The following is a 16,750-nucleotide window of genomic DNA, read 5'->3' as shown; positions in this document are numbered from 1 at the left end:
TTCTAAACTATGGGACTGATCAAAAGAGAGAGGTTAGGTGGGGTGAGTGTGGGTCCTGGCCAGGAGAATGAAGGAGGGAGGGAGGGAAAGGCTGTGAGAAGAAGTGGAAAGCAGGGTACAAAGGATGCAGGATGGTGTCACTTCAGGGAAGGGCCTGGGATTCCTAGTAAGTATGGAGGAGAGGTGGCACCTGAGATTACCTTTGGAAGCCCAGATGTAGCTGATCCTACAACTTGCTTCTCCTCCTGCCTGGACGTCTACACCAATGTGACTAGACACACAGTAGAAAAGAACTGGCACCTGATTCTCAGACTGGTACCATCTTCTACCCTCGAGTGTTTGTTTCATTCCTTTCCTCCCTGTTTCCCCACCCCAACCACCAAACTCATTGCTCCATTCTTCCAATATAACTCTATATCAGGGCACCACTGAGTTCAACGCAATGTGTCACAATCGCTGTGTTCTCCCTCTCCCAAGTGCATGATTCTCCACACTGCAGGGCTGCTGCTGGAGGATGGGGCTGGGGCGGCATTGGCAATTCGGGACAACATCCTACCCTTCTCAGTGTTTCTTTCAGTTATATGAAGTTAAAAACCAGGTTTTGTGAATGCTCACATAACTTTTGTTTCTAGTGAAGGTGATTTTGTCTTTTTTTAAATGTAGATAGTTGTTAGATTGGTATCTTTGTTGCAGGGGGACGGTTAGTGAAGTCTTCTATCTAGCCATCTTGCTCCACCCCTCTCCCTAAAAAATTTTTAAATTTCTTTCCTAATGTCTTCATTGACCCACCAGGCATTCAGGAGCATATTGTTTAATTTCTATGTGTTTGTATAGTTTCCAAAATTCCTCTTGTTATTAATTTCCAGTTCTATTCCATTGTTGTCAGAGAAGATGTTTGATATTATTTCAATTTTTTGAATGTTCTAAGACTTGTTTTGTGACCAAATATTTGGCCTGTCTTTGAGAATGATCCATGTCCTGAGAAGAAATATGTGTATTCTGCAGCTCTTGGATGAAATATGCTGTAAATATCTATTAGATCCATTTAATGTATAGTGCAGATCAAGTCCAATGTTTCTTTGGTGCTTTTCTGTCTAAACGATCTGTCCTATGCTGAAACGGGGGCTGCTGAAGTCTCTGGCTATGATTGTACTGAGATCTATCTTTCTCTTTAGCTCTAATAATAATTGCTTTATACAGCTGGGTGCTCCAGTGTTGGGGTATGTATATTTATAGTTGTTATAGCATCTTACTGAATTGACCCCTTTATCATTATATAGTGACCCTCTTTGTCTCTTCTTATAGTTTTTATCTTAAAATCTATTTTGTCTGATATAGGTATAGCTACTCCTGCACTTTTTTGATTTCCATTGGCATGACCAATCTTTTTCCATCCCTTTATTTTCAGTCTATGTGTGTGTTTATAGGTGAGTGTGTTTCTTGTAGGCAACAGATCATTGGGTCCTTTTTTTTTTTTTTTTTTATTCATTCCACCACTCCATTTCTTTTGATTGGAGAGTTTAGACCATTTACATTCAGTGTTATTATTGATAAAGAAGGACATTTTCTTATTTGTTTTCTCGTTGTTTTGCTTGTTTTCTCTTCCTTCTTTCCTTCCTTTATGTCTTCCTTTTAGTGAAGGTGATTCTCTGGTGATATGATTTAATTTCCTGTTGTTTATTTTTTGTATATCTGTTGCATTTTTTATGATTTGAGATCACCAGGCTGCTTGCAGATATCTTATAACCATTATTTTAATCTGATAAAAACTTAACACTGCTTGTATAAACAAAAACCGAAAGATATGTAATAAGAATTCACACTTTAACTCCATCCTCTTTCTTTTTAACTTTTTGTTGTTTCTATTTATATCTTCTTATACCATCTATGTCTTTTTTTAGATGAGGATCTCACTCTGTCACCCAGCCTGGAGTGCAGTGTCACAATCTCAGCTCACTGCAACCTCTGCCTCCGAAGCACAAGCAATCCTTTCACCTCAGCCTCCTAAGTAGGTGGTACCACAGACACGTGCCACCATAACCAGCTAATTTTTTCCATTTTTTAAAAGAGACTGGGTTTTGCCATGTTGCCCAGGCTAGTCTGAAACTCCTGAGTTCAAATGATCTGTTCACTTCAGCCTCTCAATGTCCTGGGATTACAGGCATGAGCCACTGCAGCTGGCCTTGTACCGTCTATGTGTTGAAAAGTCTTGTAGTTATTATTTTTTATTGGTTCACCTTTTATGCTTTCTACTTAAGACACGAGTAGTTTACACACCACAAATACAGCATTATAATATTCTGTGTTTTTCTGTGGCACTTGGTTCTTGACTGAAGAAATTACAAAGTGCCAATCTGGGTCTAAATGTAATCCATTTTCTGAAGTTAAGTGTCCCAAATATTTCTTCTGAGTTTTCACTAGCTGCAATTTTTCGTCAGAGACTTCATGGTCTTTAGCAGTCAGTTGCTTTAACAGTTGTACACCATTTTTTTCATAGGCTATCTGTGAAGCAGAGCAAAGAAGGCGGCCATCTATATATTGTAGTAAGGTGGAACCTTAAGGAGAAACTATCTCCTCCAAGTGTTCCTTTAATATTTGAAAAACACAGGAAGGGTTTTCAGTAAAAGCAAGAGGCATTACTGTCCAGGTGAATTGTTGGCCTTCCAAGGTAAAGGCAAAAAGATACTGGCTGGCCTGATCCACTGGATTACTGAAGAATGCACTTCATAGATCAATGACAGTGAAAAACCTCCTATCAATAGGTTGTGAGTTTAATGAGATATAGGGATTTGGAACCACTGATGTCTTGGAATCACTATATAGTTTATTGCTCAGAATTCCTGAGCAAACCTTTAATCCCAGTTGTTTGGTTTTTAATAGGTATAATTAGGGTGTTAGAAGGATGAGTACATGGAATAATGAGGCCTTGCTTTTTATGTCCTTCTGTAATAGGTTTAATGACTTATAACACCATCTGGTTTAAGTGGATATTGTTTGATATTAGGCAGGGGTTTTGATGGATCAAGCTGGATTTTTATAGGAGGTATATTATAAAGTTTGCCAATATCAACAGTTTTGCCTATACAGAGACAGGTATTAGATTCAGCAGTGAAAGGGTGTGATGTAGTTTGTATATTTGTCCCCACCCCAATTTCATGTTGAATTGTAATCCCCAGTGTTGGAGGTGGGTCTTGGTGGGAGGTGATTGGATCATGGGGGCACATTTCTCAGGAATGGTTTAGCACCGTCCCCTTGGTGCTGTCTTTGAAATAGTGAGAGCTGGTTGTTTAAAAGTGTGTGGCGTCCTTCCCCTCCCACTCTCTCTCTCGTTCCTGCTTTCGCTATGTGACGTGCCTGCTCCCCTATTGCCTTCTGCCATGATGGTAAGCTTCCTGCGACCTCATCAGAAGCTGATCAGATGCCCAGCACCGTGCTTCCCATAAAGCCTGCAGAACTGTGAGCCAATTAAACTCATTTTTCTTTATAAATTACCCAGTCTCATGTATTCTTTATAGCAATGCAAGAACAGCCTAACACAAGATAGCATTATTTTTGTTTTGTCAGTGGGAATGACATAACAAGTGGGGACATTTGGAGAGTCAGGGATTCCTGAGGTCAGGAATTCAAGACCAGCCTGGCCAACATGGTGAAACCTCGTCTCTACTAAAAATACAAAAAATTAGCTGGGCATGGTGGTGGGCACCTGTAATCCCAGCTACTCGGGAGGCTGAGGCAGGATAATTGCTTGAACCCAGGAGGTGGAGGTTTCAGTGAGTCGAGACTGCACCACTGCACTCCAGCCTGGTGACAGAGTGAGACTTCATCTCAAAAAGAAAAAATTTTAAAAAAAGTTTTTAAGCAGTTTTCTTAGTAGGGTCCTCAAGGGGACAGGCAGGTGATTTATCAAATGGACAAGATCAGAAGTGCACATAGTTTCCCTAAATTGCTGGCTCTTTTACCAAGTTCAGCATGTTTTGAAGAAAAGCTATTCACAAACTTGGAATTAAAGTCTACTCAAGTAGATTTAACATCCATAGGTAATGCAGAAATTTCTTTCTTTTTTCTTTTCTTTTCTTTTCTTTTTTTTTTTTTTTAAGATGGATTCTCACTCTGTCGGCAGGCTGTAGTGCAGTGGCTGGATCTGGGCTCACTGCAAGCTCCGCCTCCCGGATTCACACCATTCTTCTGCCTCAGCCTCCCAGAGTAGCTGGGACTACAGGCACCTGCCACCATGCCCAGCTAATTTTTTTGTGTTTTTAGTAGAGACGAGGTTTCACCGTGCAAGCCAGGATGGTCTTAATCTCCTGACCTCGTGATCTGCCCGCCTCGACTTCCCAAAGTGCTGGGATTACCGGCGTGAGCCACCGCGCCCAGCCTACTTTAGTTTTAAGAAAGACAAGTTTGGGGAACTCAAAAGACCCCAAGGATGGCCATTGAAGATCCAAATTAACTTTGCTATACTCTATCCATTGATTTTAAAAAGTACACAAGAGACGACCTTAATTTTTTTCTTTTCTTATTTATTTTTATTTTTTTTTGACATGAAGTTTCCCTCTTTTCTCCCACGCTGGAGTGCAATGGCATGATCTCGGCTCACTGCAACCTCTGCCTCCCGAGTTCAAGCTGTACTCCTGCCGCAGCCTCCCGAGTAGCTGGGATTACAGGTATGCGCAACCACATCTGGCTGAATTTGTATTTTTATTAGACACGGGGTTTCTCCATGTTGGTCAGGTTGGCCTCCAACTCCCAAATTCAGGCGATCCGCTTGCCTGGGCCTCCCAAAATGCTGGGATTACAGGCGTGAGGCACCACGACCGGCCTTAATTTTTTAAAATAGAGATGAACTCTTGCTATGTTGCCCAGGATGGTTTCAAACTCATGAGCTTAAGCAATCTTTCCACCTCGGCCTCCCAAGGTGCTGGGATTACAGGCATGAGCCACTGACAATAATTTTTGAACATATAGCTGACAGGAGTCCCAGAAGAGGGCCTATATTGGATGCTTTGGAGTTTTGGCATCCTGTTCTGCCTCTTATTAATTTCTCAACAGCAAAAGAAAAATTCTATAATCTCTGTGAGGAAATGGTAGGGGTTGGAGCGATTTGTTTTTTAATAGTGTGTGCCTAGCATAGGATTTTTGTTTTTACTTGATGTGCAGGCAGCCTGTGATCTAATTGTCTATCCTGTCACCATTTTCTCCAGAATTTTCTTGAGACTGGCACGCTGCCTAATGGAAATCTTGTTTATTCATGTACCACTTTATCCTGACAACAAAAAATTTCTCTTTGGGGAGACTGAAGGCTCACATAGAATGGTGACAACAGCCCAAACAGCTTTTAAGGAGTTGACTCATCCTTACCATTTTAGAAAGTAAATTTTGCTCTCAAAAGATATTCAGAAGCAGAGGAAAAATCAAGCAACAAACTCAGTATAAGTCTCTTCCAAAGATAATCTTTCTTCAGGATCATTTCTGACACTAGATTATTCAACCTAAAAAACATGACATTAGAAATGTCCAAATATGTTGAGTTTATTTGGGAATGAGAATGAGGATTGTAACCTAGGGTGCACTGATGGATTGCCATTCTGGAAATATTAGCTTAGCCAGATGTAGTGGGTTGAATGGTGGACCCCATAAAGATATGTTTCTGTCTTAGTGCCCAGCAGCTGTGAATGTCAAGTTGTTTGGAAAAAAAGGGTCTTTGCAGATGTAATTAAGCGGAGGATACTGAAATGAGGAGATCCTCCTAGATGACCCAGGTGGGCTCTAGATCCAATGACAAGTGTCTTTCTAACAGGTACACAGAAGAGAGAGTCAGAAGAGGAGAAGGTGATGTGAAGAATGAGGCAGAGACTAGAGCAATGGGGCTACAAGCCAAAGAACGCTGACCAATGCCCTGCAGCTGCCAGAGCTGGAGGACTCAAGGAATGGATTTGCTCTTAGAGCTTTCAGAGGGAGTGAGGCCCTGCATATTGATTTTGCAGTTTGGGCCTCCAGAACTGTGAAAGAATAATTTTCTGTTGTTGTAAGTTGCCAACTTTGAGGGCATTTGTTGTGGCAGCTACAGGAAGCTAATATACCAGGTGATCAACTTCAACATCAACAGTGGTACATGAAATTGATATTCTATAACCTTGATAAGGTGTTTGGAGAATAGCACTTCACCTCATCTAAACACCCATAACCATAGTCTAACCATGATCTACACCCCAACTAAATTCAGTTTGAGGGACATTTTACAATATATCTGGTCAGTACTTCCCAATATTGTGAAGGGCATCAAAAATTAGGAAAATCTCAGGAACTGTCACAGACCAGAGGATGCCGCGGAGGCACGACGGAGACTAAATGTAGTGTGATATTCTCCATGGAATCCTGAAACACAGAAAGGACATTAGGGGAACGCTAATGAACTCCAAATAAAGTCTGCAGTTTAGTAATAATAAGGTATGAAAATGGCTTCATTAGCTGTGACAAATGGACCATAGTAATGAGAGATGTTAACATCAGGGGAAACTGACTGTGGAGCGGATGGCAACTCTGTACTACCATTGCAACTTTTATGTAAATTTAAAACTCTTCTAAAATAAAATTATTTAAAAGTAGCAGTCAGGAAAGGATTAAGGAGTGGAAGAAAAAAATGATCAACTTTCCATTTTCCTGGAGTGTTGCCATGAAAAGGCTGGAGGGAGGGTTTGCAAGGAGGAGTTGGAAACCTCAGAGACAGGCCGCTCCAGAGCCCTCCTCTGTTCCGCAGAGCCGGAACCCCGCGCAGTCCAGGGCTTCTCAGAAGGCCTTTCCACTCCCTGGACAACCCCAGCCCCACCTCATTGATACATCCTTTCTGGATCAACAATCTGTGTCTTACTCAGACCACCGCCCCATCCTCTCCAGAGCGGCTCATCAGAATCCGAGCGCAGAGCGGCAGCGCCCCCGTGTGGCCCAAGGACTGAGGACAGACGCTCAGCTCCCCTTTCGCTTCCCCACCCGCGACTTCCACAGGGTCCCGTTCGGTTTCCAGCTGCAGAACAGGGCTCTGTGCACACGGGGGCGCCCTGCTCCCGTGTCGGTGTCTCTAAATCCTGGAGTACAGATGTTTCCTCCCAGTTACTGGCGGTGGAGTCTGATCTCAAGGCAGAGGGAGGTCTGCAGGCCCTAAGATCTGGTTCCCAGGTCTGCGTGACCCCACAGACATACTGTGCGCCCAGTACCCAATCTCTCAGTGTTTTTGGAATGAGGCCTTGGACTCCCGAGTCCCTGAAATTTGTTCTGCTGCTTCCAGGGAGGAAGATACCTCCTCGCCGGAATCCACTAGTTGATCCTCCAACCCTACTTTGGAGGGACCCAGGAAGGACATGGCGTTGGAGCTGGACCCAGGAAGAACATGGCGTCGGAGCTGTAACTATATTGGGTTACAAGGATGTCTGGGATCAGACTGGGCAGAGCATTTGTCCCCAATCCGTCGGTTACCGGAGGGAGGTCCCTCCGCGACTCCCCGGACCTCCAGGACCCAGGCATCGGAACCCACACCCTCCTGGAGCGGACCCTTCCCAGCCCCAGTCCAGGACCCCGAGTCCCGCCCCTTCTTCCCCTTTGCGACCTAAGCAGACAGGACCTGCTGTCTACATCTCTTAGGCCTCGTCCCCTGCCATCTCCATTCCCTGATTAAAGGTTCTTGATCCCGGAACCAAATCTAATTTCTGGTCTCGTCTATTGTCCGCGACGATCACCGACCAGGAGAGGCTCCCCAGCCCCAAACAGGCTGCGGCTGAGCGACAGCGGCGGATTTTGGCGCTTTGGCCCAGACTCTCTCGTCGAAGCACCCCGCGACCCCTGCCTGGAGGCTGCGCAGGCAGCTGGGGGTCGGGCTTCGTCTGGGGCCTCGCAGGAGGAGCGGGGTCTGCAGCAGGAGGGGGCCCGCTGGGATTTCTGCCACTGAGGCTGCACTCGCCGCCCTGGGTAAGGCTTCCCCCAGCCCTCCCCTGTGGACCTCGCTGTGGTTCCTTTCCTATTCCCTTTGGGCAGTGTGATATAGGTTTCCATGTGAGGGCCAGTACTCCTTGCCTGTCATCTCACTCTCCAGTTTGCTGCAAAGTGCAAGCGACCCCATACCCGCCTTTGCCCCACCCTTTGCCTCTCCTGGGGACATTCTTCCTGCTCAGTAGTGGGCCTTGTAAGGACCTGCAGGACAGTCTGAGAGGGAGCTACCCCAAAGGCCCAAGGAGTTCCCGGAGACCCTCTGCACTCACTCACCTCCCCACCAAGCGCCCCTGCATTCTTCCTGCACTGCGCTCCAGGTGTTGACAGCTCCTGGGCAGGGTAGCAGGTTCCAGGCAGCCCAGGCTGAGGTCCTCTGCTGGGGATTCACTGTTCCAAGAAGACAGGATTCTGCCTTTATGGGGGAAGGGCTGGATAGGAACCAGGAGACCAGTTATAGGCCTGTTGCTATCAATCCTGGGACCAGTTAATTGATCTGTGTTCAGTACAGGATAGCAAAAATGGACTTGACCTTTTCTCATGTGAATATTTTCAGATACCCTCACTCCCAGCCTTCCTTCCCTGGGCACAGAAGAGACCTGCCTCAGGCGAAGTACCTCCGTGGAATTAAAAAGTCTCTTGGGCTCAGCTCTCCTCAGGGGCCTTCAGAACTCATCAAGGATAAAGCTGCAGACTTCTGGCGGTCACACAGGGACTAAAACCGATAAAATCCACAAGTCAACTGCGACTCAATCTTCCTTCCTCTTGCCGCAGTGTTCCTCACTTAGTCTTGGATGGAAGCTTCGGTCCTCTCCTGGGCCCCAACCTGCGGTCCCCAGGTTCCCCGTTTTTCACGTCTAATCTCAATTGACTCCCTCCTCCACACACCATTTTTGACCACCCAGTCCACAGAACGCCCCGGGCTTCCTAATGGGCCAGGTCCTCCTTAAGAGAGGCAGGGAGGTGGAGAGCGAGCATGGAAGCCGAGCGCCTGCTGGGCAAACCCGAATCTGGGGTCTGACCTCGCCGCCGGCAGCTGGTGAATATGTCGCAGGACCGGTGGTGGCTTGGCAGTCTTCTCCTGTCCTCTGCTCTTGGCCCCAGACCCGCGCTCACAGCCACCTCCTGAAGCCACCAGCTCTGCACCCTCTCGGCCTCGCAGGGGAAGAGGGGACTGGATGGAAGCCGCGGACTCTGGGCGCTGTCAAGGTCACTGTTGTGAAAAGCCGGGAGACCTGATGTGGACACAGGGAGGCCTGGACCGGAGGCGCGGCTGGCCAGAGGCTTCGCGTCTGCCCCTCTTCCTTCAGAGCCTCCTGCTCCCAGGGAAGCTCCGCGCGTGTCCTCAAAGCAGAGAGTGGTTTCCAAACGGACCCCCCAGCATCCGATTGGGCTATCCCGCCCCAGGCTGGAGGGTGGGGGCTCATGGGGTCTCTAGTCACCAAGTGCCCCACCTGAGAGGACCCGGTCTCTCCTCCAGGCTGCGCTGGGTCTCGAGGGAGGCGAGCAGCTCGGCTCTGAGGGGGGCCCCGGCCGGCGCTGCCCAACTCGGACAACCTTCCTGGCCCACCCAGGAGTTGAGTTTCAAGGCTTCCCGGAGAGGCCAGCCCGCATTCGGAGCGGAAGGTTTCTCAGGCCGCGAGCCTCGGAGAGAAGCAGCGCTGGTTCCCTGAGCCCGGGGCCACCGCTGGGCGGGAGCGCGCTTGGATCTTGCAGCAGCTAAAGCCTCGTGGGCTCCTCCTCGACTACAAGCCGCGGAAAACAAGTTGCAGCTCAGCACTATTTAAGTTGAGGTTTTTCTGTTATGCCTGCGGTTTGCTGTTTCAGCGCTTTGCTGTTTCAGCTTAGTGAAAGCTGAATGTACTTAGTACTTCAGCTTAGTTTTTCAGCTTAGTGTACTTAGAGAAGAGGCTTCTTCCTCTTTTGGGGGAATCAGTGGGTAGAGAGGAATTCCGTGGTTAGAGCCTACTTGGTCTTTAAGAGTCGACTATAATTTTGATTTTGATCCTCAACCACATCCGAGATCACAGTTCCCCGGTCAGTCTCAGCTCATCAGCAAAGGGTTTGGCGGCTCTCTCCAGAGGAGACTGAACGAGGTTGTCAAAGCGTCTGGATCAAAAGTGTTCCCCTGTCGGATGGAGCGGTGTCCAGGATGAACCTGAGCATTGTACCAGCATTTGGGGGTGTGGAGTTGGGAGGGAAAGCCAAGGCCCCACAGTGTGAGGAAGGAGACTGGGCAGAGCCCCTCAGTGTTTAGGAATCTCTAAATACTAAATACTACATCTCTAAATACTAAATACTGAGCTGGGATGGAATCTCTGTGCTGGAGGCTAGTGGTGCAAACTGCAGTTTCTCATCTGCAGGCACAGATGACTGACTGCCTTCAGCATGGGCTCATCTGTCCATCTCTCCTCCTGACCCCGGTCTCATTACAGGAGAGGGAACTGGGTGCTAGAGGGTGGGGAATCCAGGACGTCAGCGGTGTCGCACCTGGATAAAGCATTTTGCAAACACAAGTCCCAGGGCTGACTATTGATTTTACCACATGCAGCCTGTTTTTATTTATTAATTTCCTTTCTTTTCCCTTAAATTCCAATGACAAAGTATAACGTAAATCAACGTCCTTAAAATGTATGTAATCCTCTTCATTTAGTAACTATTCTGACCTCAAGTATCCATTCTCTAGTCAAGGATTATACCTGTTTCTCCTAGCCCCCACCAGTGCTGGGTCTGTTGTACCCCTCCCGCAGTATTGCCTCCCCCTAAATAAGCACATTTCCCTATAATTTCTTCCTTTTTCTCTATGCCTTCCCATCATGTTTGCACTTGCTGTGAAGTAAGGAAATGCTCCCCAATTCTGTTATTCCTTCCTACCCTTAGGAGATTTCTCCCTCTGCGCTGAGGATCTCACTGTGCACCTCCAGCCCTGGGTCCTGGTGGGCTCTGGTGGCCACTGGAGTCCTTGGAGCTGCCTCCCTCTGGCTCTGCTGGGTGAGTGCTCTTCTATCCTCTCTTTCTCCACTGATAAAAACAAATCCGAGAACATGTTCAGAATAACACTTCCAGAAAGGATGGTGTTGAGGGGGATCGGGAGTAGGGGAAGGAACTCCACTCCCTTGGATGAATTTGGAGACAGTTTGTTGCATTAATCTCTGGACAGGAAACAAGACAGAGCCTAGAGTAAACCAGGCTGCTCAGGTAAAAGGTCCGAAGGCCTCCTCTTCTCCCTGCCCACATTTCAGTAGACTCAGTGCCAAGGGCTTGTCCTGGGGGCAGGTGGCCTCAGCCACAGTAAGTCCCTGAGATCCTGGACCACTGCGTGGAACCCTGTTCTCTACATGAGGCAGGCTCCAGGTGCTACCTGCTTCCCTTTCATTTCCCCTGTTACAAAACATGGTCTCCCCTCTACTCCCTCTCAATCCTTCCTAGCCACCAGCTTCCTGGCAAACAACCACATAGAAGCCTTTTACTTCATATGTTGTTCTTTATCTTTATGTCTCTTGATAATATACATTTATGCCACTTCAAACATTTCCATTTTAGATATTAAGTATTGACTTTTCAAAATCCCTTCAGTCCATAGTACCTTCCACAGCACACACATTTTCATCCTCCTCATGTAGGCAGGTGGAGATTTTGAGTGCATTGAGAGCCAGAGTTAAAATTACTGACTTACGTGAATGCTACTCAGACCTGAGCCACATGGTAAACTCTCTTAGTTTTTCTTTCCATACATGTTGATGTTTTCAGAGAATTGATAATTGCCCGGCGTTTTCATTTTCTTACTTTCCATGAACCTTAACAAATGAATTCACCAACTGTCCCTTAGTTGAGTAAATGTCTTCTCCATACCTTTAAACTTATGGTGGCTCTTGTCAAGGTCATCTTCTTGGAGATGGCGTCCCCTCTGCTGTGCTGTCCACCCACCCAGGCGACCCTCTTCCTTTCTGGTCCTGTTGCCTTTTCACCTTTTCACCTTTTCATGGGTTGATGCCTGATTCTATACATCCCACGTCTTGGTCTGTTTATTTTTGTTTTGTATTCTTTTCAATATATATTCCTTCCTTCTCTTCTTGGTATGTTCCCTCCTCTCCGAGTACATCCTTCACCTTTGCTATTGGGAGAAAATTTTTCATGCCTTGCAATGTCTGAATTTCTTCTTATTTTACAGGGTTGGATTCAGGAGTTGAGGTCATCCCCAGCAGGAGCAACTAGGGCCACTGGAGGATCCCCAAGGACACAGGTCACCCTTTTCATGCAGGAAGAATCTGAATGGTTCCCACCCAGTTTCCTGGGCAGGCAGGAGAATCCAACACGAGGGGCTGCTGTCTTCTCTGACTCTTAGGGCCCTTGCAAGATCCTGTTCTGGGTGATTTAGCTGAAGGGCAGGGTGATTTGGGCAAGCATCCTCAGGGCTCTGGGCCTCAGTTTCCTTCACTGGGTGATGGGTTGATCAGATAGATGGCCTTCCCCACATAGCTGAAAATCAGATGTGGTGAAAGTGCATTGAGACCGGAAACAATGTTATTGTTCTCAAATACATGCCCAGAGAGCACGAAATAAATTTTTATTCAGCTGGCATTTCTGTTCCTTTCTGAACTATGGGACTGATCAAAAGAGAGAGGTTAGGTGGGGTGAGTGTGGGTCCTGGCCAGGAGAATGGAGGAGGGAGGGAAAAGCTGTGAGAAGAAGTGGAAAGAGAGGTACAAAGAATGCAGGATGGTGTCACTTCAGGGAAGGGCCTGGGATTCCTAGTAAGTATGGAGGAGAGGTGGCACCTGGGATTACCTTTGGAAGCCCACATGTAGCTGATCCCACCGCTTGCTCCTCCTCCTGCCTGGAAGTCTATGCCAACGTGACTAGATGCACAGTAGAATGGAACTGGTGCTTGATTCTCAGACTGGCACCATCATCTACCCTCAAGAGTTTTTTTCATTCCCTTCCTCCCTGTTTCCCCACCCCAACTGCCAAACCCATTGCTCCATTCTTCCCATATAACTCTACCAGGTACCCACCTCTTGGGTTCTAGTCATGTCCGAAGAAGTCTTTTATTAATTTATTTCTTGTAGAGATAGGGTCTTGCATTGTTGTCCAGGCTGGTCTTGAACTCCCGGCCTCACCTCAGCCTACCATAGTGCTAATATTATAGGTGTGAGCCACTGCTCCCAGTCTGTGTCTGACAATGTCTTGAGTGACTAAAAGGCATTTTCTTTCACTTTGTAGTCTTGGGCTTCCTTCAGTCTGCCTCTCTCCTCTTTTCCTGTGACCCCAGGCAGGCTTTGTCATTCCCTTCCTCCTCTGGGGTGCCCTCTGGGCTTCAGAGCAGCCCTGGTGAGAATCTGCAGGGCAACCTGCACACTAGCTGGCTGGGCTTCTGAGCCCCTCCACACTCACTCATATGCCTCTCCCACCTCCCTCCAGTGGTGAGATCGGGAATACAACTCACTGAGTCTCCAAGTCCAATGGATTTTCTATCCCAGGGATGAGCATGTCCTAGTCATCTTCTGTGAAGTAGAGGGAGGCTTCTGTTCCCTTCTGGGCTTCAATTCTGCACTTCCAGAGTTCCCCATTCTTCACGTTTAGTCACTCTACCTCCCTACACATATTTTTGGAATCAACCAACCAGGCTAGATGGACCAGCCAGTCCCCAACGTGAGAGCTGGCAGGGAAGTTCTTAAATAACGGTTTAGTTTTCCTATAGTGTGACAAAACTGGCTCCAAATGCCAAATGAAACCCCTTTAGTGCATGCCCCGTGTGCTCAGAAATTTGCCTTATACTCCTTCACTCACACAGAAAAGCAAAGACAAAAATAAAATAACAAAATTCAATTTCCACAACTAAATTTCCCATGTATTATTTTTCCCAACAGAGTTCATCAACAAGCCTGTGATACCTTAGGATATACTGTGTTCTGTAAATCTAAAACACCACCTTACATTTGTAAGGCTAACATTTACAGAGCACTTGGTATGTCCAAGGCTCTAGTCTAATATCCAAGTGAATATTATCTGATTTGTTCCTTGTGAGGATTAATTTGATTTCTCAACATGACTGGGTCACGAAGGAGCCCAGATATTTGGCCAAACATTATTCTAGGTATTCCCATGAGTGTGTTCGAAAAATGATTTACATTTAAATCAGTGGAATTGACTAATGTACATTGCCCTCCATAATGTGAGTGGGCCTCATCAGATCAACTGGAGATATATGTCGCCTATTCATTCTGCTTCTGTGGAGAGCCCTGATCAATACACTGTTCATAAGACCAGTGTTTTGGGGATTTATTAATTAATGGAGGCACACTGTGGTTACTTGCCTAGTAAGCTAGAAGAACACTAAAGAGGAAGTGTAAGAGCCGAAATTGCTTTTTAGTAGAACTCAGTTTGAAGTTTCCTTGCAGTGGTGAGTGTGGAGATGGGTTCAGCAGGGTGGTCTGCAGTGGGTTTGCCAAGGGTCTCTGGGATTCCACTGGAATTTCTCTCCACTGAAGGGAGAGGCTTAGCAGGTGCCTCCAGTGCTCTCCAGAGCAAATTGGGTCAGCTTCATTAAGAGTTCCTCTCTGAAGAAGGGAACTATGATCCTGACCCTGAAACAGGCCCTGGAGTCTGAGGCATGAGGGAGAAGCCTACATCTTGGAGAGGTGGACGAAGGAGGAGGGGAATCATAAAGATGGGGCTTTGCCTTCAGCCAGAAGCATTCTGCAATCTCAGGGATGAATCCAAAGATGGAAGAGGGGGTTTCTGGGAATAGGAACCTTTGTTCAGTACCTATTTTGGGGGGTGAGGTGGGGTCCCTCATGTTGTATCACAAGAAACAGATTCTATTTTATGACAGTATGATCTACCCATGGTCTTGTTCTTAAACTCTTGCAGATGCTGAGTCTCAATAGAGATGAGGAATCTGAGGGTCACAGAGCTAGTGCTTGGATGGATTTACAAATGTAGGAAGGAGGTTTGACTGATCTTGGTGTGACACCTCCTTCTTTCATTGTTTTTCTGGGAGGAGTCTGATCTCTTTTCTTTTTTTGTGAGATATAAAATATATGCAGAAAAGTTACTTACAAATGTACACAATATTTAACTAGCGACTATGACCACACAAGCACCACCTAGGTCAAGAAGCACAGTTGTCCAGTGTCCCACAAATGCCTTGCTTGCCCCCTCCCATCACACCTCTTCCCTTTCCTAGCTCCATGAGTGACTGCCTTTCTGACCTCTGTGCTAACATTCTTTCCTGGCTATGTGTTTGCAAACACTGTGATTAAAAGATTGCTTCTCAATTTTGGTCTTGTTTTCCTTCTTCAGGTTGTGTCTCCCTTGAGCAGAAACTGTCACTGCCCAAGGTGGGCTGCCGGTCTTGGTGGCTTCTAGTTCTTTTGGGAGTTTCCAGAACTGATTCTGTCTGGCTGTGACAGTGGGTTTTTTTTTTTTTTTTTTTTTTCCTGCTCAGGTCTCTGCTCTGCTACGAACCTTTATATGCTGTATGCTGATTTCGGTGTGAACTTAAGTGTTCATTTCTCTGGGATAAATGCCCTAGAGTGCAATGGCATGTTTAGTTTTTTTTTTTTTTCGCCATACTCTAGTTTCTAGAGTGGCTGTACCATTTTACATTCCCACCAGCAATGAGTGATTCAGCCATTTTCTCCACATCCAGCATGTGGTGTTATTTCTATTTCTTATTTTATTCATTCTGATAGGGGTGTAGTAATATCTCATAATGGTTTTAATTACATTTCCCCAATGATGAATCATATGGACCACATTTTTTTTTTTTCTTTTTTTTTTTGAGATGGAGTCTCGCTCTGTGGCCCCGGCTGGAGTGCAGTGGCGCGATCTCGGCTCACTGCAAGCTCCGCATATGGACCACATTTTTGTGTCCTCACTTCCCATCTACATATCATTTTAAAAGAAATATTTGTCATGTGTTTTGTCCACTTTCCTATTTTATTGATTTTTTTAAACTGTTGAATTTTCAGTGTCTTTATATATTAAAAATGAAGGTTTTTTTTTTTTTTTTTTTTTTTTTTTAGGATACGTGGGAAGGTAGTTTGAAACTTTTGAGGTCACCCAAATCTGCTTTTCTTTCTCTTTTTTGGGAACAGATTCTGGATTCAAGATCCCCTCCAACAGTGAAAGCCATTTTCGTGGGCCCTGGGCCCAGGATACTCCAACCTGGTCGCATACCCCTTGGGATTTCCCAGCAGCGGGCTGCAGAATATAACGTCCAGGAGTGGGGTGTCCTCTCTCTCCGGGCTCTTGGAAGACGCTGCTCCGCCTTTGATCACCTGGATTTTTAACTATTCGAATCTAGCTGAAGATCTGTGTAGCCTGGGCAAGCCTCTGCAGAACCCTGGGCTTCAGTTTCCTTCTCTGGGCACTGGGGTGATCACAGGGTCTCCCTGACCAAACCTACAAATGGAAAGTTCTCCCGGAAAGCTCTTTGTAACCACAGACGGTGATGCAATGTAAACCCTTAGAATGACCTCCTAGGATCTAGCCGTAAACCCTGTTCAAATGCCACACTTCATCCTTAGTTCTGTCCCTTCTGGAATTCTTCAGCGAAAGAAGCCTGAGTAGGGATCAGTGGAGCAGGAGGAGGAAGGGAGGGGCTGGGAAGAAGAGAGCCAGGCGGGGAGCAGAGCGCGGCGGGGGTGGTCCGTGACTCACGCGTGGCAGGGCTCACCATCGCCTCCAGGCTGCGCGCCTGCGGCCGGGTCTCCTCCCAGGTTCCCAGCCTGTTCCTTCACCCCATCTCTCTCTCTCTCTCTCTCCC

Source organism: Homo sapiens, chromosome 6 (genome assembly GCF_000001405.40).
Source record: "Homo sapiens chromosome 6, GRCh38.p14 Primary Assembly".
Lineage (NCBI taxonomy): Eukaryota > Metazoa > Chordata > Mammalia > Primates > Hominidae > Homo > Homo sapiens.
This window is presented reverse-complemented; position numbering follows the sequence as displayed.